Consider the following 23,037-nt stretch of genomic DNA (forward strand, 5'->3'; position numbering starts at 1 on the left):
TTCCCAAAATAAAACAAAAATTTACTTGGACGTTATTCATTGGCTAATAGAACATTTTAGTCCCAATCCAACAAAATTTTAGGCAAATGTCAAGAACCAAGTTAACCAAAACCGCTTTAAACAGAATCTTCATTCTAGGTATATAAAAACTGTTTCTTTAAATTAGAGATCTTTTTGGTCCTAAAATCTAGAACTGAATCAGCTACAACTGCAAACAAGGTGATTAGTGCAAAGTAATACAACTGTCCAAAGATAAGCTACTTCCCACTTTCCCTACTCAGTAATACATAAAAATCCTTAATATTAGCCCTTCACTTTCCATGCTTCCACCCAGTAACACCTAAAGCAACTATTTAAGGATTAAGCCACACAAGGTCAGAGTAATTGAGCACCTAGTATGAACCAATTATCTAAATAGATTTCTAAAAGTCCATAATGAATCAGAACTCAGATACAAAGTTACCACCAGGCATCTTTTATATATACTTTCTTGCATATACAAGTCTCAAGAAGAGTAATGTCATACAAGAGCACTAGGAATTGCCACATACTCCCAAATGGGCAGCAAAAGGAACAAACATTACTGATTTAAAACAGTATATACATACTAACTCAAAAAAATAATTCGGTAAATCATTTTCTAACTTGTGTGGGTAACTTTTTCCCTTCCATTTAGAAGTGAACAATTGGCTACCAGTTTAGTACAGAAGTAATCAACAGCACAAAAGCTAAATTCTGTCCAAATGGGAATTCTAAGCTCAAAAAAAAAAAAAAAAAGATGCAATCTCCAGGAGCCATTAATTTCTGCCCCAGCTCAACCTATGGAATTTACCTATATGAAGTGTTCATAATTCTCATCTCATAGAAAAACCTCTTTGCACAACGCAAAGGACTTACACAAAGGGATCTGAGTCACTAAATGTGAAATACTAATCATGGTATTTTTTAACAGATTATACACCCCTTAACAGCTTTCAAAATATATTTTATGTTGCAGGCTACCTATCTAAAAAATAATAAAACATGTTTTACTAACAAGTTTTATCTTGCCCTTACTTTGATTATATAGAGGTGTAAAGTATGCTTTAAAATTACTTCTAATTTCACAGCTTCCTGTTGGGTAGACCACTTAATTTGTACCTAGAACTAAACTTTTATTTTTCAGACAGTGTGTCACCCAGACTGGAGTACAGTGCTATGATCTTGGCTCACTGCAACCCCCACCTCCCGGGTTCAAGTGATTCTTGGGTGTGGTGGTGTACACCTGTAAAATTAGCTGTCTGTGGTGGTGCACACCTGTAATCCCAGCTACTCAGGAGGCTGAGGCAGAATTGCTTGAACCCGGGAGGTGGAGGCTGCAGTGACCTGAGATCATGCCACTGCACTCCAGCCTGGGTGACAGAGCCAGACTGTTTCAAAGAAACAAACTCTTGTAACCCGAGAGTGACAGTTCCGGGGTCAGCAAACATTTCTGTGAAAGGCGGTATCTTATGCTGGGCTGCCTACATTTTTCTGTGGGTTTTTTTTTTTTTTAATCCTATACAAGCCTAAAAACCATTCTTAACTCAGGGACACGGACACACACACACACACACACACACACACACACACCCCCACACACACCAGGTCACAGGCTGAACTTTGCTGACCCCTGGCTTACATACAGCATCTCATTTAAATGGCGCTCATTTCCAGTGTTCATATTTTCATCTGTGGCCAAAATCATGATGGCTTTAGCAATTTATATTCTAACCATTTCCTAAACTTAAGCTTCTCATGTTTAGATTACAACCTTGTTTTCACTATATTCTTGAAATTACCGACTTCCTCAGCCTGAAAGATTTATTTCAATCACTTCACATAACCTCCAAATTTGAACTTAAAAGTCAAGGAAGATGAAGAGGTAATCCCAGGGCACAGCTTAGGCCAAATAACCCAAATTTCTGGGAAGCTGCCACTTACTATTAACTCAACCTGACAATTATCTTGCAAATGATATTGATAAATCATTTAATTACTATGGTCCAGTTCAAATATGTATCATTTTACTGCCTTGTTACCAGTTATGCCATACAAAGCACAGTAAATAATGAAGTTTCTGGGCTTTTCTTAGTTAACCTGAAGATCTCGCTGGTACATGTTCAGACTTGCTAAAACTTATTTACATATTTGTCTCAGTATAATCCAAAACGTCTGGGTTATAATCTATTTTCTAAGTGTTTACTTTAGAAAGTAAAATTGCATGCACCTGAGATCCCTGGAATTTGCTATACCATTGGACTGGAGGTCCACTAATATACCTGAATAATCTTACCTCTAAGGTCAACATCAGTTAGGTTCTAGTAACTTCCTATTTCTCATTCCTTTGAACCTTTTAACACCTGTTGTTTCCTTCCACATGATGGTACTTTCCTAAAGACATGTTAGGTTGGTACAAAACCAATTGCACCAACCTAGTATTTTCGAAATCCAATACACATTTAGGCTTTGTATGCAACTCCCTGTTCTATTTCAGTGCAACCATCTCTGGCAACTAGAAAAATAACAAAATTAGAATGAATACTTAATATCCTCCTTTTAAATCCATACCAAAAACAAGCCCCAAATATATTTACAACCCTGGAAATGATGTGTACTACTTTTATTTAAAAAAATAAGAGTAAAGGAACTAACTAGATGTATATGGTGCCAATTTTTAAAAGTCTTGCTTAACTCCACAGGTCTCAAAATAGCTAATAAAGAAACCATGTCTCCAATCATTTCAATACAAGCTGTAAAAATGCCTTAAAAATCTCAGGTCTGGCATTACTTCCATTTAAACGCATCAAGATAAAAGTTCACTGAAACATCAGCTGCCACCATTACTTTAGGAATCTTTATCTGTTTAGGGATTTTTCCCCTAGACTATTATAGCCAGTTTGTCAATCAAAAGTAGCATTCAGTATGCTTAACTTTCATTATCAAAAAAGTGATCTGCTAAGAAGTGACAATCAGATTAAATCCAAGAAGTCCTTGGATTTTGTATTTTACAAGAATTCAACTTTCCCAATTAAGTCATTAGTCATTAAGATAAGTACCCTTCCCAAATGTGATTCAACAGCCTGGTTTTTAGCAAATAAAAACCCCATATAAAATTCAATTTAAAAATTATAAACACACAGGGGTGTGCACACAGGTCAGAAACCAGGAAACACATGACAATAAACATGATCCTATTTGATTGTTTTTATGACTTTTAAGAAGTGAGCATGAAAATAAATCTTTATTTTCAGTTATTACCCACCAATAAGAGAAAGTTAGGTTCACAGTTTTAGCTCTTGACACAAAGTGAACTAGGAGGCAAATTTATATCCATCAGATACAACTAATGCACCAACTTTTTAAGTTCAGGCTATCTTGAAAGCTTGCAACATACCAGATATTGCTATGTTGTCTCTCACGACAGCAATGGATGACACTGAGAAGTTGTGTTTTGAGTAGCAGGTGTTTTCTATAGTATGTTGCTGGAAATCAAGAGGTTTATAAAACATGGTACATGTTTGGAAATGAGTTAGATACTTGAAAAGTCTAAACACACTGATTTAGGAGTGCGTATGTTGCTGTCTCAATGAACAATGGGTCAATAGTTCATATGGACTAAATTAATCTCTGGGTAGCACGTATGTGTGTAAATATAAAATTATATTAGACATTAGCACCAGTGCAGAACATGCTCAGCATCATAAGATCCAAAACACCAGCACAAGTTTATCCATCATTAAAAACAATTACCTCCTTCCTAAAATGTCAGAATAGTAGGTAACTGAGATTAATAAATCTTATCCAAAAAGTAACTCTTATAACATAAAAGTTTCTTTTAGAAGTATATGTGAGAACCAATCAGCTAAATAGAAATGTTTAAGATTGAAGATGTCCAATATTTTTAAAACTGGACATTACCATATACAGGTAGAACATTTCTAAAAATGACGTGACAAACAATTCTTAAAAATTTTTTAAAAATTCCTTCACTGTTTATCAATAAATGTGGCAGAATAAAAGACAATCCTAGAAAACTTTTTTAATTCATCATTCTATGTGTGTTTTAATAAGTGGTGATGCTCCCATTATAGGAATCCATTATTTACCTAATTTTCTAATGGAGGAAGAGAGAAGAGATAATTACCACTTTCTGTGGAATACTCAACTTACAACCAAATAATAGCAATCTAGGAAATTTAGAAACAGTAAAGGTTTTTGGTTTATATTTCATGTATAGTGCTGCTGTTCCAACCTTACAAAGTAAAGCTGTCTGCTTCCCAAATTCCAAAAATTAAAATACTCCCCCACCTCACCCTACCAACCAGCGCCCTTTGGTTTTTGTTTTAGAACAAGGAAGGGTTAAATGGTGGCTGATTATGGATGTACCATTTTGATTTTGGGACCTTTCACACACAGAAATCATACCAAATGGCCAGACACTTATTTTACAGAACAGTTTAAATATTACACATTGGCCAAATCAACTTATTCCACCCACCCTGGTGAAGGGGGAGAAAAAACCCATACCTATAAAACTACTTCACTTGACACGATGTGCCTACCAACAATAAGTAGTTTAAACAACTTTCACCAATTAAGATGTCTAGTTTAGATTTTAAAATGGGAAACTCAAGCATTTAAAAAGTAAATATAGCTGAAAATGTAAATCAGTTATAATTTGAACCTAATGAGCCATGCAAGGAGCAAGGGTTAATAAACCAAATGTGCTTTGAATTTGTTCAAGTACTGATATTTCTGTATATAAAGATTTAGCATATATATATAACAGCTATCATGAGAAGTGAAAAAAGATTTTTCCCCAAAAATGAAAATATTAAAACTAAGTTAAAATACATATAGTTAGTATTCCACACAGCATAAAATTTGACAAATCAAAGTTTAACATGTCCCAGTTGACCATGTGTGAATATGCAAAGCAGGTATTAAAACCAGTATGTCCAATATTTAAAACCAGTTTGTAATTGGGGGAACTTCTAAATCCTTAATTAAAAAACACAAATGAAGTGAAAGCTTTAAACTGGTACACACTGTTCACACCTATATTTCAAGTTTGGAAATGCATATTTGCAAGCAGCAATACAAAAGTATTCATGAAGAATGCATAATCTCTGAAAATTATGAAAACATCCCTGCTACCAATACATTTCTAAATACAAAACTGACTACCATATTTGTTACTTCTGTGTAGCGGGAGAAGTTCATTTTTAAAACAGATAAAATTCAGTCTTTAGGTGTGAATGGTATGAATGACAGTCTTTTTTTTTTTAATTTCTTAGTCGTTTGGAATCCTTAAGCATGCAAAAGCTTTGAACAGAAGGGTTCACAAAGGAACCAGGGTTGTCTTATGGCATCCAGTTAAGCCAGAGCTGGGAATGCCTCTGGGTCATCCACATCAGGAGCAGAAGCACTTGACTGAAAAAGAAAAACCAAAATTAACCACAGTTCTCAGTTCTTCAAAATTACATTGTTAGCTAGTGTCTACATTAAGACAGAACTCTAAAAAAATCTTACTGTTGGCCAGGCACAGTGGCTCACACCTGTAATCCCAGCGCTTTGGGAGGCCAAGGTGGGTGGATCACCTGAGGTCAGGAGTTTGAGACCAGCCTGGCCAACATGGTGAAATCCTGTCTGTACTAAAAATATAAACAATTAGCTGGGTGTGGTGGCAGGCACCTGTGATCCCACTACTCAAGAGGCTGAGGCAGGAGAATCGCTTGAACCTGGGAGGCAAGGGTTGCAGTGAGCCGAGACTGTGCCACTGCACTCCAGCCTGGGAAACAGAGTGAGACTCCATCTCAAAAAAAAAAAAAAAAAAATCCTACTGTTAAAATTCTAGGTAAAATGTATCAAGACAAAATTATGGATCACAAAAAAACTACAAGTATTTGCAATGAGCCCTGTCCTAAATTTCTACCAAGGCCTATTTTCATTCCAGAGTAATAATATGGGTTGTTTTCTTTTTCTCTTTTTTTTTGGAGACAGTCTTACTCTGTTGCTCAGGATGGAGTGCAGTAACATAATCTCAGTTCACTGCAACCTCCACCTCCTGGGTTCAGGTGATTCTTGTGCCTCAGCCTCCCAAGTAGCTAGGTTACAGGGATGTGCCACCACACCTGGCTAATGAGACAGGGTTTCACAACGTTGGCCAGGCTGGTCTCAAATTCCCAACCTCAGGTGATCTGTTCACCCAGACCTCCCAAAGTACTGGGATTACAGGCGTGAGGCAGTGCGCCCAGCCCAGTTGTTTTACTTTTTCCAATAAACCATACAAGTAGATTCATAAGCAATTATGTATGTGAATTCGCATTGTTCAGTATTCTTATACTTTTTCCACTTGCTAAATAAGAATGGCACCAATGTGAAAGCATGCTAAGGAACTAATATCTAAGTAGCAATAATCATCAAGGTTGAAAGTCTGAAAAAAGGAATCCAAACTGCTCTTTATAGCCTAAAGTATAAATAACAGAACTAAAAAAGAAAGTATGGGAAAAGCCCATCAACACAACCACCACCTTAAAAAAAAAAGGTTGGTCTTAGAGGGAGGAACAAAGTATCATTACACTGGCAATGGTAAGTTACCCCTGTAATCATCAAAAACAGACTCAATCAAGTAGGTGGGTCCCCAAATTTGTGTGTAAGGTGTTGAGAATTTAGGAGGACATTATGGTTGTTTCCAAGCATCAGATCTGAGTTCAAATCTATCAATTACTTGGGAATTCACCAAAATATTTCTCTAAGAACTTGTTTTGTGCCACATACTGTTCAAGGCATTGGAGAGATTATAGAAAGTAAGCCAAAAATGAATCCCAGCTCTCACAGAAGAGTCTAGTAAAAGAAAAAAGTGTCAACAATCCTAAGTGTCGTAAGAGGAATTATACAAGGAACACAATGGTTATTAAGTGGAGACCTAAAAAGCAGTTAGGAATTATCAAAGTGAACAGACTGGTTTTCAGGTAAGCCTTAGCAAAGGCCAAGAGTTAACCTGATTCACTATACCAGAATTTTCTCATCTGGAAAATGAGAATGTCATCACAGTAACAAGAATTAAATGACATTAAGTACATAAAATGCCTAGCCCAGCACCATGACCGGCACCTAGAAAGAACTCAAAAGGGTGGTAACTTAACACTACTAACAGCACTACACAAAAAGGCATTTAAGTGCTTTAAACATAAATATAACCTAACATGCGGTTTCTTAAAGACACTGCTACTACTTCTACTTATGTTCCCAAAAGTGACATAAGTCTGACCCAGCCAGTGACTTATAAGAGGTCCTTAAATTATGTAAAAGGAAAAGAAAGTCTTAAATTACCTTGTCGGTCCTGCTGCCACGGTTTGGGCGCCCACCACGCCCACGTCCACCTCGTCCTCCCCTGCCGCCACGTCCTGGGCGGCCAAGGTCTCCAAAATTGATCTCCAGCTGAGACGTTATATCATTTGCTGGCTTCCGGAAATGATGGTCCATAACCGAATCTTCAGCATGAGCCTAAAAATATAAGTGAAGATGATTGTGTTATTAGTAGAAAAGTAACATTGCAAAATTTCTAAATAATGAGCTTTCTTCTAAAAAAAACCAAAAATCCAAACTGTACTTTCTGTGAACAAATGTCTCAATGCCTCCACAGGTAACAAGCTAGGGCTCAGCTTTAGTGATCCTGGAGGAAGATTTTCCTGCACTTTTCTCTATCTCAAAATTGCAGGTAATACCAGCAGTCCTCAACTAAAGACATGTATGCTATCACAATCAACCCAAACGGCTGAAGCCCATCCTAGACCTACTGAATCATAATCTTTAGCAGTGAAATCTGGACAAGTACATTTTAAATATGCCCTTCAGATCAGGACTGCCATGTGAATCCTTGATGAAGACCTCTGGAGAGATGACATATAAGGTTACTACTAGCACTAACACTGAAGTTAAAAAGAACACTCAGAAAGAAAAACTCTGTTCTACACTCTTCCAACTACAACTAGGGTAAAGACCTTACTAGATATAAACTTCTCAGAAGCATTTTCTGTTAATACACAACCACTACGTTTTTCTACACAAATTGGAGAGCTACAAATTCAAGTGAAACACTACACACTTTACATAAAGAGGGGAATCTTGTAAAGCTATGCACAAATAAAACCACACCTTAAATGTGTCACAGGAACCTTTTTTTTTTTTTTTTTTTGAGACAGGGTCTCACTCTGTCACCCAGGCTGGAGTGCAGTGGCACGATCTGGGTTCATTGCAACCTCCACCTCCCAGGCTCAAGCGATCCTCCCACCTCAGCCTCCCAAGTAGCTGGGTCTATAGGCACATGCCATGACACCTGGCTAATTTTTTTGTATTTTTTATAGACAGGTTTTCACAGTGTTGCTCAGGCTGGTCTCAAACTCCTAGGCTCAAGCGATCCGCTGGCCTTGGCCTTCCAAAGTGCTGGGACTACAGGCATGAGCCACCATGCCCAGCTAGAAACTTCTTAAAAATGAAGTCATGTTTGTGAAATCCAGATCCTCTTTTCTATTTGCGTTTAAGATACATGACCCAGTCTGGGGGAAAAAAGCAAAAAGCCAGACAATTCTATACTGCTTCATGCCTGATGTCTTCTTGTACGCTTGGGATGGGTTTTAATCTTCTAGTTGAAAACTGTACTTATAGGACTTGAAAGTACAGCTTTCTTTTCCTCTTTTCCTAAATACATCTAAGGAATCTTCTTTTCTAAAGGGATAAAGAACATTTTGTTCTTTCATTAGAACTTGTACTATTACAATTCCATTAGACTCAACTTAAAATATTACAGCTGTTAATAACTAGCCTTTAAAGTACAAATAAATTTTTGTGTTTTTATCCATGTTTTCACCCCTTACATCAACTCATACTAGTATTAAATGTCACTCCTTTGTACCAAACCAACACACTGTAAGGCAATAGAATGTTCTAATACAAATTTTAAAGGAGGCTAGAAACATAAAAACAAATTCACAAAACACCAGCAAATTAGAATCAATTATATATACTAATTGTGTGATTTTTAAATGTTTGCTATTTCAAACCAATGCTTTCAATTTATTGCAAACCACAGATCGAAAATATTCAGAAAAAAATAAAACCAACCAACCATATAACAATAAAAAGTAGGCCAGGTGTGGTGGCTGACACTTGTAATCCCAGCACTCTGGGAGGCATAGGCAGAAGGGCTGCTTGAGTCCAGGAGTTGGCACAGGTGTGTAGTTCCAGCTACTCAGGAGGCTGAGCTAGAAGGATCGCTTGAGCACGGGGAGGTTGAGGCTGCAGTAAGCTGTGACCATGCTACTGCATTCCAGCCTACATGACAGAGCAAGACCTTGTCTCAAAATAAAGTGTATGAGGGAGTGCTCACTTTGGCAGCATATATACTAAAAGTGGAACAATACAAAGATTATTAGCATGATCCCCACAAGGATGACACGCAAAACTGTAAATTGTTCTATATTTTAAATTAAAAAATAGAAACAATAAAAAATAAAGTATAGGGAAAACGTGTTTAGGCTATATGCAGATACTATGCCATTTTATATAATGGACATGAGCATCTGAAAATTTTAATATCTCTGGGTCCTGGAACGAATCCCCTGCAGATACCAAGAAACTGTACTGGGATAAAGTCAGGGCAGGGGGATCCTTTTTTTTTTTCTTTTTTCCTTTTTTTGAAACAGTCTTGCTCTGTCAACTAGGTTGGAATGCAGTGATGCTATCTTGGCTCACTGCAACCTCTGCCTCCTGGGCTCAAGTGATCCTCTCCCGCCTCAGCCTCCCAGGTAACTGAGACCACAGGTGCACGCAACCACATCCAGATAATTTTTATATTTTTTGTAGAAACAGGGTTTTGCCATGTTACCCAGGCTGGTCTCAAACTTTTAACTCAACAATCTGCCCACCTCAGCCTCCCGAAGTGCTGGGATTACAGGTGTAAGCCACTGTGTCCGACCTTTTTTCTAGAGCACTCAGACAATGAGGAGCAGAAAACAGAAACTCTGAGCTCTGTCAATAACACGGTAACACAGTTCTCCATTTGTAAATAGTTTCTTCCTTCCCCTTAACTACCTCACATTTGTCACGAGAATGAAGACATGTGAAAGTTAAAGTGTTGTTTTTTTTTTTTTTTTTTTTTTTTGAGACAGTCTTGCTCTGTTGCCCAGGCTGGAGTGCAGTGGTGTGATCTCAGCTCACTGCAACCTCTGCCTCCTGTGTTAAAGTGATTCTCCTGCCTCAGCCTCCTGAGTAGCTGGGATTACAGGCATGCACCACCACACCAGGCTAATTTTGTATCTTTAGTAGAGACGGGGTTTCTCCATGTTGGTCAGACTGGTCTTGAACTCCCGACCTCAGGTGATCCGCCCGCCTCAGTCTCCCAAAAGTGCTGGGATTACAGGTGTGAGCCACTGCGCCTGGCTGAAACCACGTGTTCTAATGCAGTTTTTTTTCTACAGGACTTAAAAAAGACAATGTCCTCATTTACTACTCATATGAAGTAAATGTTAAAAATCATCTCTAAACCTAAAAAAACTTTTAATCTTTTTAACCTCCATTTTATTTTAAAATGTTTCCAAGTTTGTCTTATAGCCATTTTGCAGTTTAAAAAATTATGCTTATTGGCTGGGCATGGTGGCACACGCCTATAATCCCAGCACTTTGGGAGGCTGAGGCAGGCGGGGATCACTGAGGCCAGGAGTTTGAGACCAGCCTGGCCAACATGATGAAACCTCATCTCTACTAAAAACACAAACATTATCCGGGCATGGTGGCGAGTGTCCGTAATCCCAGCTACTGAGGAGGTTGAGACACAAGAACTGTTTGAATCCGGGAGGTGGAGGTTGCGGTAAGCAGAGATGGTGCCACTGCATTCCAGCCTGGGCGACAGAGCCAGATTCTGTCTCAAAAAAAAAAAATAAAAATAACTAATACCTTATTGAAAGGGTTTGCCCTCACAATATTTTAATTTAACTTTACCTTAGGATGATAAAACTCAGTCTGGATTTCTGGCACAGCCCAATTTATGATATGAATAAATCAAACACAAATGTCAAAAGGTTAAAGGAAGCTGATAGAGAAAATGAATTTAGGAGAAGAAATAATATAGTTAGGGCTTGTATGAGTTTTTAAAGCCAAACAGGAAGCCGCACTGAAACATTCCTCTAAGAACACACCCCAAAGCTTAAACGGAAGCTACCAAATCAAAAGCCATCAATGTGACTTTCTCCAATACAGTTGACCCTTGAACAACGTGGCTTTGAACATTCTGCCTCTGTCAGTCTTGAGACAAGCAAGCCCAATCCCTTTTCTTCCTATCCAAAATAAAGACCTTTGTGATGATCCAGTTCCACTTAATGAACAGTAAATATATTTTCTCAACATTTTCTTTAGCTTACTTTACTGTAAAAACACAGTATATAATACGCAACATACAAAATGTGTTAACTGGTTATGTTATCACTAAGACTTTCAGTCAACAGGTTATTAGTAGTTAAGTTTTGGGAGAGTCAAAGGTTACATGTGCATTGATCTGCGGGGTCAGTGCCCCTAGCATCCTCATGTTGTTCAACAAGTCAACTGTATTTTCACTAGTTTCCATGTTTCTTAAGTAAAACCCACATATACTTTGGTTTTTAAAGTCGTCATTCCTTAGACAAAATGCACATTGCCATTTACTGAGTGTCCTGGCCATTATATATGGTATAGGCAGACAGTTTCAAAAGTTGAATTCTAAATGAAGTCACTTACATTTTAGGTTAAACCATATGAAAATGTCAAGATTTCAACCTAACACCATAATACCACAGCCCTTTAATGATCCCCAGTTTGGCAAGATTTCAAAAATACAACCACAACTTTGAAAAGAACTATCATATTTCTGAACACCAATAACTACAAGATACTCCACTAACAGCTTTTTAGGAAAAAGTAACTCTACCACATAAAACATAATTACAAATTGATCAAAGGACTAAATTTCTTAGAATATGTGATAATACAGTTTATTTTCCTTATAAAGCAAATTATCTGCCCCAAATGATCCTATGTAAAGCTTTAACAGACAAATAACCCATGTGAAATTTTAAAACAAAAATTATAAATACAATTCAAGTCACATCTGAACATTTTCAAACACGACAAAACTTAATTTTACCTCTTCACTCTTTGATTTATGAAGAACAAATCCCTTCTTCCACTGCCCATCAGCACCTTCATTTGGTTTTCGGATATTAAATTCTACTTTTGCCCGGTCCTTATTTTGAATAGCCTTCCACTCATCCAAAGTCATCTCTTTTGGACCCTCCTCTTTTACCTCTTCAACTTCATTCTCCCTGTGAAAAGGTTTTCAAGTTTTATACCTGGTAGAGAGCTGATATTACATAAAAGTATTTTAAATTTATGATTTTAATTGAGAAAATTAACCTTGTAATCTTTTAGAGAAAGATTATTCAAGGATGAGGGTACCCTAGTTTCCTATGTAACTAAGCAACTTGGTAGAGACCAGGAATTCAGTGTTTGCTAATTAGAGACAAGTAAGGAATATGGAATTCATACTTATGAACTCTTAAATGATCATTTATCAGTAATACAATCTAGAACTGGCTTTACGAATACTAAAATACACATTTCTTAAAAACACTACCTTGTTTAAAAACTACCCTCTTATGTAAAATCCTCAGCCTATCTTCTCCTAAACCACATTTTTAATTTCCATAATTCCCACAATATGTAACTCTTAATAACATACAAGAAGGTAATCCTCTAGGATGTCTGTCAGCAACCAGGGTTCAAATTTTGGAATATAAAAGAACTGTTCCTCTATGCTTTGTTTCAGCAACTAGCACTTAGAGCAAATCAAAACAATAGCCGTGTTTCTACAAATCCTAAAATCCTTATACTCCAATTTTCAAACCAACCTGTATATGGAAAGGAGGCCATGGATTCACTACTAATAGAACTATCCACAAACACACACTGGTTTCATTATTTAATACTAAACCATTTATTTCCAAATATAATTCTCAGGTCTTAACTATAGAATATGATCCTTTCCTCTTTTTACAGAAACAAAGCACAGGCCTAAGGATCCATTATTTTAGTATAATCTCAATCTGCAATTGTCACCAAACAAGTCATTTGCTATTTGGGGAGCCCTGCTTCTTTCCAAAGATAGCAGGTGATTCAGTTAGCCTTAGAGCTCAAATATCTCCCTGGATGCTGCCCTTTACTGTTTGACAAATGCTATCTTAAAAGTTCCTCCAGTTACATCTATGCTGCAAAAAAAAAACAAAAAACTTCCTAGAGCAAGTTTATATTGAATTGACAGGATCTTGGGATCTTGGGTACTGAGTCCACCTAGTCATTTTACAGATGAGAAATCTAAGAATATAAAAAAAGTCCTGCTTACCCATATGTTATGACACAGCCAGGAATAGAACTTAGCATACCTTTTATCATATCATGGAGGCATGACACCTACCTTTCAGGAATTACTGCAAGGATTAAATAAAAACCAAACAGAAGCTCTGGAAGCTATATATAAGTTAGTTCATCAAAGTCAGCCAATGTTGTGTTTCTTAAATTTATACTTCCATATGCTATGCCCAGATTCTCCCCTAGTCTGGAATAAGATTACAGACAGTTCTAATGTGATGGATAATTATTTTCTTTAAACCAAACACCCTCAGTTTCGCTCCTGGGCACTGAGCTAAGGATTTGCTACCAATAGCCTATCAATACATTAGTACCTTTTGGTAAACAGTTATAATCTTTGCATATCACTGAGTGATTGAACATGGGCTCTATTAAACAGTTGTGGTTGGACACGGTGGCTCACACCTGTAATCCCAGCATTTTGGGAGGCCAAGGCGGGAGGATCACTTGAGGCCAGGAGTTCAAGACCAGCCTGGCCAACATGGTGTAACCATGTCTCTACTGAAAATACAAAAATTAGCCAGGCATGGTGGAGCATGCCTGTAGTCCCAGTACTCGGGAGGCTGAGGCAGGAGAATCGCTTGAACTTCAGAATGGCCAAAATCGCGCCACTGCACTCTAGCATGGGAGACAGGAGACTGTGTCTCAAAGAAACAAAAAAAAGTTGTGTTGACCACTATGAGAAACTTAACGTTGCATAGGGTTCATTTGTTAAGGCACCAATCACAACTTCATTGTTTATCATGCAAAATTATGATTCCATTATAGTTTTGCATAAATTTTTATTACCAAGTTCAAAACATCACCCAATACCATGTATTTTTATCTACTCCCTCCAATAGTATATCATTTTTCCTTATCCCAACAAATCCACGGAATATGATATTCCCATCATTAACAGTGCTCACCATAAGAGCAAATTCTTTCTGAAGAAAAGAAAAAGTTTAAGGTGCGGCAGCTCACGCCTGTAATCCCAGCACTTTGGGAGGCCAAGGAGGGCAGATCACCTGAGGTCAGAGTTCGAGATCAGCCTGACCAACATGGAGAAACCCATCTCTACTAAAAATACAAAATTAGCCGGGCGTGGTGGCACATGCCTGTAATCCCAGCTACTCAGGAGCTGAGGCAGGAGAATTGCTTGAACCCTGGAGGCAGAGGTTGCAGTGAGCCGAGATCACGCCATTGCACTCCAGCACAGGCAACAAGAGCAAAACTCCATCTCAAAAAAAAAAAAGAAAAAAGAAAAAGTTTAGAAAACATCTGCCCCTCCCACCCCCCAACTAACTTGAATATGCTTCTGGTTAGGAATCACTGTCCTAAATAACCTGTAATCCAAGACTTTAAACCACAATACTGTAACAAATAACTGGCAAAGTAAACATGATTTTAGGTCAGGCGTGGTGGCTCATGCCCGTAATCCCAGCACTTTGGAAGGCCAAGGCGGATGCATCACCTGAGGTCAGGAGTTCGAGACCAGCCTGGCCAACATGGTGAAATCCTGTCTCTACTAAAAATACAAAAAATTAGCTGGGCGTGGTGATGCATGCCTGTAATCCCAGTTACTCGGGAGGGTGAGGCAGGAGAATCGTTTGAACCCAGGGGGCGGAGGTTGCAGTGAGCCAAGATAGCGCCACTGTTACTTCAGCCTGGGCAACAGAGCGAGAATGTCTCCAAACAAAACAAAACAAAACAAAACAAAACAAAACAAAACAAAACACCATGTAATTTTAAAAGCTAGTGAAGGGCTGGGTGTGGTGGCTCACACCTGTAATCCCAGCACTTTGGGAGGCCAAGGAGGGTGGATCACCGAGGTCAGGAGTTCGAGACCAGCCTGGCCAGCTGGTCTAAAAAATATAAAAAATTAGCCAGGCATGGTGGCGGGTGCCTGTAATCCCAGCTACTCCAGAGGCTGAGGCAGGAGAATCGCGTGAACCCGGGAGGCGGAGGTTGCAGTGAGCCGACAGTGCCACTACACTCCAGCCTAAGCAACAAGAGTGAACTCCATCTCACACACACAAAAAAAAAAGTTAGTGAAGGGCTGGGCAAGGTGGCTCACGCCTGTAATCCCAGCACTTTGGGAGGCCAAGGTGGGTGGCTTGCCTGAGCTCAGGAGTTGAAGACCAGCCTGGGCAAAATGGTGAAACCCTGTCTCTACTAAAAATACAAAAATTAGCCGGGCCTGGTGGCAGGCACCTATAGTCCCAGCTACTTAGGAGGCTGACGTGGAAGGATCATTTGAGCCCAGGAGGCGGAGGGTGCAGTGAGCCAAGATCACTCCACTGCACTCCAGCCTCGGCAACAGAATGAAATCTTGTCTCAAAAAAAGAAAAAAAAAAAAAAAGATAGTGAATAACATACTCTGATCTTTGCTCTCTTCATACATTTAAAAACAGGCCAGTAATGCTATGTTCCAAATTCTACATTGGAAATAACTTCAAGATAGAACTAATGTTAAAATGGCCACATTTTCTAGTTTTAACTATCTCAAAGTAAAATTTGTACAGTTGTATGACAATGGTAAAATGACTAATCAAACAGAAATAACCACATTAAAATATTCTATTTTTCAAAGCGTTAGAGTCAAATATATACACATAAACCACTCTTTTAAGGGCTGGGTGCAGTGGCTCATGCCTGTAATCCCAGCACTTTGGGAGGCCAAGGCAGGAGGAACGCTTGAGCCCAGGAATTGGAGACCTGCCTAGGCAATATAGTGAGACCCTGTCTCTATTAAAAAAAGAAAAAAAAAGCATTCTTTCAAATACTCTTTGAGGGATGAGGGTACAGTAAGTCTCCCTTGTCAAAAACAAAAAGCCATCAAGTAACAGCATTAAATCTATGGGTTATCTTATTGGTAAAACTCCAGTGCTTTCAATTCTGGGTCATTACTATTACACGCAATACCACTTACTTATTTTCAGTGTCTGCCACTGGATGATGTTCTTCACCTTCAGGTGTTTCCTCAGTCACATTTGATTGATCCAAGTCACTGTAATTATAAGATATTTGTTTCTGAATGTATTTGGGGGACTCTCTAAGGAAAGAAAGAAAAAGAAAGGCATCTAGGTCCATTTACATGTAGCTGAAAAGTTCTTCATACAAAAATACCATAAGCTCTCACATTCTCTAACTCCTTTCTTACTAAATATACTCCCCAGAAGACGTCGAAAAGTAAACAATATAAACTAGTTAGTTCATATACTTCATACTTAAAAAGTAACAGAACAAGGCAGTTAATTATAAAATGAAGCTTTACTAGCTTATCAAATTTTGTAATGACAACAAAGTCAAAAGCTAGAATAGGAACTATTAAGGACACTAAGATAATCAGAATACCCAAATAACCTTATTGTGGGGTTTCAGGAAAAGCTACAAATACATATGGGGGGGAAAAAATGAGTAACAAATATATCGAAATATTAAAAAACCGGTCATTCAATATACTATAACCCAAACCCATCCCATAAGACATTATCTTGTAATATAGTAACTCTCAGAAGAGAGCATTCATTCTTATCTCAGAGACAAGTAAAATTTGACAGAGGTATGGATTAACCTCTAGTTAGGTATAGAATTTTTAAGAAAATCAGAATACCAACGTTAATTCGTCTTTGACAGTTCCCCAGTTGTGAGATCCGCTACCTCCACGTTTGTCCTCGTGCTTCAGGCCACTGTAATGTGAAAAAGAACTAACAAAACTGAGTTAACATAATACTCTTTAGTTCTAGAAATTCAAAGTTTGTTTATTAAATAGATTAAAATATTAAAGTAAAATAAAAACCAGTAAGACTTACGATCTATCACTTCCACTATGCCTATCAAATTCACGTTTGCCACGAGAATCAAATCCATCTCCTCGGCCCATTCCACGTCCACGGCCCCCTCGACCTCTTCCAAGACCACCACGACCTCGAATAGGTCGGTCAATAATCGGTCTATAATATAAACAAATAAATTATACTTCCATGGTTTCCAGAAGAAATGAGGAAAATTCATCCAAAAGATCAAAAATACAGAACATGTTTACTGGCTCAAAAACCAATAGTTAAATACATACACTTCAGAAAATTCAAAATAGTCTGTTTCTAAACACAAAGGAAACCAGAACAAGACAGCCTCCCAAAACAAGAAAACTATTTTAGCACTCTAAAGCATTACTACCAGTGCATATACTTTTCCACTGCTATTCATTGCACATATAATCCAGTCCATCACTATTTACCAATACACTTAAAAATTAAACACATCTAACTTGCATAAGTAATTTATTTGCTATAAACAATAAACCAACAGTATTTTCCTTCAACTAACAGTATTTTCCTTTTAACTCTGTATCTGGAGAGAGAAAGAAAAAGAAATTGGTTATCAATTCAACAAAGTGTTTCCATTACAAGAGACCTAAGTTTGAACTGTTACCCAAAGATCTAAAGCTTAACAATGCACACATACAGATGTTTCTGTGAAAAATTAATAGAAACAATTAGCCAGACTGCTACCTGGCAATTATGCCCAATTTATAGCTTAACATTAAAATGTGACTCTATAAAGTAACAAAATATGAAGACTTCTTTGGTTTACGCCTGTAATCCCAATATTGCAGGAGGACAGCTTGAGCACAGGAGCTCAAGACCAGCCAATGCAATATATATAGTGAGACCTCAGCTCTACAAAAAAAATTAGCAGTGTGGTGGCGTGACCTTGTAGTCCGAGCTACTCAAGAGGAGACTGAGATGAGAGGATCATTTGAGCCCAGGAAGCAGAGGCTGCAGTGAGCCAAGCTTGTACCACTGCACTCCAGCCTACATGTTAGACCAAGACCCTGGCTCAAAAACAAGAAACAACTTACCTATCAACTGAAAATTCGCCTCCTTCACCCTTTTCTTCAAGTGGCTTTTCGAATCTTCGTTCACGAGGTGGTCGCCTTTCTGGTCTTCTATCAATTATTTTCCCTTCACCCTGAAGTTGTTGATCAGGTCTTCTTCCAACTCGTCTTATTCCTAAAACGATAAGATAACCTGCATAAGCAAATTATTTTTGCAATCCAAAAACTTTAGGCCTGGACTGTCAAAAGCTGCTTCTCTTCCAATCCACTACCATTTCCTGTTGGAAAAAAGCAAACACTGGGCAACTCTAATGTGTAACAAAGTACCTTAGGAAAACTGCCATTTAAAGACAATAAACCTTCCAATCCATACCACCGACTAAATACATAAATAAATAAAATAAAAACAATAAACTTATTTTAAACTTCTATTTAAGTTTGCCAAGTTCTCCCCCTCAAAAGCATTTTCTATAACTGACTTGGAAATCATTTGGGCAACCATTATTCCCGTCACTTTCCAAGATAGTCTCTTAATAAAAACTTTTAAATTTAAAAAATTTTAGGCAAGCAATACATTTTGGCTTTTAAAATACCAAAGAAAATACCAGCAGCCATTCATAAATAACCAAGCAAATCAACACACTCACTAGATATGGCCCCTCACAAAAGTGAGGGCCGCACTATGTTATTCTATCTAATCTGAAAAAAAAATGCAATTAAGACTCATAATTCTATAAAATTACAAATCTGAAAGGAAAATATGGCATTTAGGATTATTAGAGAACATCACTTCAGTTTAAAACAGCCATTTAACCAGAAAAAGTGTCATCTTTTGGTCTTCTTAGCTACAGGCACACAAAAAGGGCCATCTTCCCCTATTAAAGTTTAAAATTTTATAGCATGTAAGTGTATATATGTTTGTACACACTCCCACATCCCTAAGTACTTCCAAGTTAGGAAACAGTTACTTATTATGCATGGAGAGAGTCCTCTAAAAAATTTGCCCTAACAACTATCTTTATTTTCAAAGAATCTTTAAAAACCAAATACACACACGTTAAGACCGCTTTTAAGCAACATGTAAGAAATAAGAAAACTTGTGACACTAAGTGATAGCTGAAGCATTTACTAATTTCCCCCTTTACTACTTTTTTCCTGTAATGTCTGAAACCCCACAAAGGCAACCAATTTAAATTATTGGTGCCCATAAGGATCAACAGATTGATGGTTAAATTAATGACTTTAAGATTGTTGGTATGCTCTAATTCCCAATTTCTGACAAAGTCATAAAGCAGCTGAGGAATTGGTTTTACAAGATTTTAAGCTGCTTCACTTTGGTTCTTTCTAAGAAAGTAGAACACCATCAAGACACACCCAGTTGTTCTGCTGCCTGTTAACTGGAGCCAAACAGTAACTATCAATCTCTTCAATAGAATTTTGAAGTTCATTCCCTGTAAATACTCAAGATAGACTACAAATATTAGACCTTACACCAAGGTATTTAAATAAATGTCATCAGTAATAAAGTGCACTGGGGTGGAGTTATGGAACCAGTCCTTGCAATAATATCCAAGCCAAACACACCCAAGTGAACAATAGTTGGCGTCCCCACCCAATATCAAGTTTACAGAATCTTAAAAACGTATTAAACCTACCTAATGAAAAAGACTGACATTTAAAAATGCAAGCTTCTTTTGATATACTTATCTATAACTTGCAAGCTCACTAACTGCACTAGTTTCAAGGCATTCATTCTTTTTTAGAAAATCCCTGGTCTACACTCTCAATGACATTCTGCTGTCAATTCTCAAGTTCTTCAAATGGGCAAGAGAATGTACAAAATTAATTCATAAAACATAAACATTAAATATCTGTCTAAAGTATGTCAAGTATTATGTCACAATGTGTTATCAAAATCACAGAACACAATCAGGTTAACCTTCCTACTACATGCAGCGACTTTGTTTACAGATTTATTCCCAGTAATCAGGACAGTAGAATCTCAAAACGGGTATTGTCCATTCAACACTTTTCCTGTATTTTACATGCTTGTATTTTATGCAACTTAACAGTAGTGCTCTGAAATACTGACCTAAGGAAAATGCTGATTGCTAACATGGAATAGTTTTCCCATGGAAAGACTCATTGAACGGTGAACCTAAGTCTTGGTTCTAACTTCATGAAATCATTCCCCACATTTGTTAACTTAAAATACTACTTTTCAGGTAAGAGCTTATTTCATAGATGGGCTTCATGATCAAAATAACTCAGGCATTTAAACCATGCTTCATGTTTTGAACATTCAAAATGAGTGAACACATCTACCTGGTACACATTATTCGTCAGATTCAACTTTTTCGTGTACTTTCTTAAGCTTAAGCATAGTTTAAATAATTACACAAGTCAGCGTTACTTAACACACGAATTAAATGATTTATTTAATTGTGCTAGATTGCCATAAAGCTTAACTGGCTGAAGAGATACTTGGCCTAAGTGATATACATGCTTTCTAATACTCCAACTGTATTTTTCCTCAACCTATAATTTTACCACAAGAATTAATTATTTTCTTTTATTCACCACCTAGGACCGAGGTTCTTCATTCCGAGCCTCACAAAAGTCCTCAAAAAAAAAAAAAAAAACCCTCCTAAAACAAATCCTACCACGAGAAAATTGTTTTGATTTTTAAAATTAGTTCACTGTTACAGAATTCAACTAAAGCTAAAGAGAAACAACTCCTTTCAGAGAAGCACGTGGCAGGAAGGGGTAATTTCAACTTTCAACATATAAATGCAGCTTTAAAGATTCAGACCTTAGGTCCAACACCTGCTTGCTATTGATCATGCACGTTCTTATCTCCAAACTGCTTGCTCTTTTTTTTCATCCGCAACAAACTGGTAAAGCGAATGCAAAAATCAAGACAATCCTGTGAAACTCACAGTGCCCTAGAAACAACTATTAACCGCCAGTGAAACTCTGACCATGCTTCACGCACATGTGGTGGAAAAAAAAAACTGCGAACTCTAAAGAGCTCTGCTGCGACTAACGCTGTGACAGCCTCTGCACTCACTTCACCCACGAGGCCCAGACCCCACCACGTGAAAGATTCAGTTTGGGGAGTCGAGAGAGAGGATCGTGACTCGAGGACGTTCCTCGGGATGTCCTGCAATCACCAGTCTTCATTCATAATTCCCGCTCCTGGTTAATCGAGTGTGGCCAAACTCCTCCATTTCCCAACGGCTCAACTCACCCCAGCAAGTTATGAGAAAGTCCTAACAGTTGAGAGGTGGAAGAGAAACAAATAAAGGACATGCGGCACCCCAACCTGCAGCTTACTCCACACGTCTGATGGCCTGGAACGACCCCCTGCTTTTCAGCGGGGATACTCCGCGCCGTCGTGGGACAAGACGGCAGGACAGGAGCCTGAAACAACAGCACCTCAAAGGAGCAGCTCTGCGCAGTAAGCAGCGATGGACCCCCAAGCTCCTCCGTAACTACGGAAAGCTTCGGTGAGGGGCCGGCTTCCCCGCACCTCAGTCCATGCGCTCACCCGCCAAGGAATCCGGCGGGAAGGCAACAGCCTCCCAGGACCTCGAGCGCGCTCGAGGAGCAGCTCATCTCCGACCACGCTCCTCTGCTCACAACCTGAGGCGGGAAGGGGATGGCTCCGAGAACCTCGCCGGCGGTGGCTTGAACTTGGGGCTACCACGCTCCTGGCACCTTCGCAGGACCGGACTTTTGTCGCGTGAAGAAACGTGAGGATATAGGCGGCAAAGTCTCCCGCGGACCCTCGGAGCTCCAGAAACAAGTGGCAGCCGGCAGCCCCCTCGCTCCTTCCCTCCATCCCAGTCTCCCCCACATTCTGCCCCTGCTTTACCTTCTTTCTTAAGCGCCACGGGCGGCTGCGTCTCCTCTTTCTTGTCAACCACGCCAACGCTGGGGGGCAGCGGGTTCTTGCGGTCTTTCTGGGACTCCTTGCGCAGCTGTTTGCCTGCCGCGTTGGAGTTGGTCTGGGCCGCGGCCTGAGCTGCGCTCTTGGCCCCAGGGCCCCCAACGCCGCCCCCGCCGGCTTCTTTTTTCTTGTTCTCTGCTGCCTTCAGCACCTCGAAGGGGTCCGATTCGTCGTCAAATAACTGGTCGAATCGGTTGGTGACCACGCAGCCGAAGCCTTCCTGTAAGTGCCCAGGCATGATGGTGGCTCGGCGGCGCGTTCCTCCACGGATTGCAGCGGGCCGCGCCGAGCCAAGAGCGCCTGCTTCAGCTCTTCCCACAAGATGGCCGGGCCGAGAGAGGGGGGCCGTCTTCTCTTCCGGCGCCAGGCACACATCCGGGAGCGGCCTGCGCCGCAAGGCACTGTGGGGTATGTAGGCCAGAGTCATTTCTCCTGAGGCGACTCTCCGCGTCGGGACTACAATTCCCAGGACGCACCGCGCGACAACTCTTCGCGCGCGCCTGAGAGGCGAGACCCCATGAGGGGAGTGAAGCGTGCGGGCTGAAGGAAGGGAAGCGTGGTGGTGGGCGGAGTCCTGCCACCTGCTCTGGCCACCCTTAAACTCTCTAGGTCTTCAGCTACCTTGAAACCAAAAAACCGTGACGGCGTAACTGACTCGCGAAAGTGCTCTTTGGTTTCACTCACGCCCCCTCGGGCTCAGGGCTAACTTTCCCCACCGCTCCAGGGGGGTCAAGGTGACTCCCAGACCTTACATCTGAGACGCACAAACTTCCGGGGGAGGGGG

At 39.3% G+C, this 23,037-nt stretch overlaps 1 protein-coding gene and 1 pseudogene across 4 annotated transcripts, besides 4 other annotated features; one reads left to right on the forward strand and one right to left on the reverse strand.

The window, feature by feature from the left end:
- On the reverse strand, positions 1 to 22,593 carry SERBP1 (SERPINE1 mRNA binding protein 1). 4 transcript variants are annotated; one of them, NM_015640.4, is made up of 8 exons: positions 22,179 to 22,593; positions 18,326 to 18,476; positions 17,274 to 17,414; positions 17,079 to 17,150; positions 16,391 to 16,468; positions 12,200 to 12,377; positions 7,357 to 7,530; positions 1 to 5,454 (listed from the first exon to the last, which is right to left on the reverse strand). In NM_015640.4, the coding sequence occupies exons 1-8, from the start codon at positions 22,489 to 22,491 to the stop codon at positions 5,398 to 5,400; spliced, it is 1,164 nt and encodes a 387-aa protein (NP_056455.3). In that variant the 5' UTR covers positions 22,492 to 22,593; the 3' UTR covers positions 1 to 5,397. The 4 variants fall into 4 exon arrangements, with proteins under 4 accessions (NP_056455.3, NP_001018078.1, NP_001018079.1 ...); NM_001018068.2 differs by having other exon boundaries at positions 16,391 to 16,513; NM_001018069.2 differs by having other exon boundaries at positions 17,079 to 17,168.
- RNU6-387P (RNA, U6 small nuclear 387, pseudogene) lies at positions 9,405 to 9,509 on the forward strand (annotated as a pseudogene).
- Positions 21,130 to 21,766: an enhancer, noted in NCBI's record as "NANOG-H3K27ac-H3K4me1 hESC enhancer chr1:67894622-67895258 (GRCh37/hg19 assembly coordinates)". NCBI's record gives its function as "activates a minimal SCP1, AML or CMV promoter by ChIP-STARR-seq in naive H9 embryonic stem cells {active_cell/tissue: H9 hESC(naive)}" and the evidence as "EXISTENCE:reporter gene assay evidence [ECO:0000049][PMID:30033119]".
- Positions 22,402 to 23,037: an enhancer, noted in NCBI's record as "NANOG-H3K27ac-H3K4me1 hESC enhancer chr1:67895894-67896529 (GRCh37/hg19 assembly coordinates)". NCBI's record gives its function as "activates a minimal SCP1, AML or CMV promoter by ChIP-STARR-seq in naive H9 embryonic stem cells {active_cell/tissue: H9 hESC(naive)}" and the evidence as "EXISTENCE:reporter gene assay evidence [ECO:0000049][PMID:30033119]".
- Positions 22,475 to 22,744: an enhancer, noted in NCBI's record as "active region_1178". NCBI's record gives its function as "activates an Ori minimal core promoter by ATAC-STARR-seq in GM12878 lymphoblastoid cells {active_cell/tissue: GM12878}" and the evidence as "EXISTENCE:reporter gene assay evidence [ECO:0000049][PMID:35858748]".
- Positions 22,955 to 23,034: an enhancer, noted in NCBI's record as "active region_1179". NCBI's record gives its function as "activates an Ori minimal core promoter by ATAC-STARR-seq in GM12878 lymphoblastoid cells {active_cell/tissue: GM12878}" and the evidence as "EXISTENCE:reporter gene assay evidence [ECO:0000049][PMID:35858748]".

The sequence above is a fragment of the Homo sapiens genome, chromosome 1, assembly GCF_000001405.40.
Source record: "Homo sapiens chromosome 1, GRCh38.p14 Primary Assembly".
In the NCBI taxonomy this organism is placed as follows: Eukaryota; Metazoa; Chordata; class Mammalia; order Primates; family Hominidae; genus Homo; species Homo sapiens.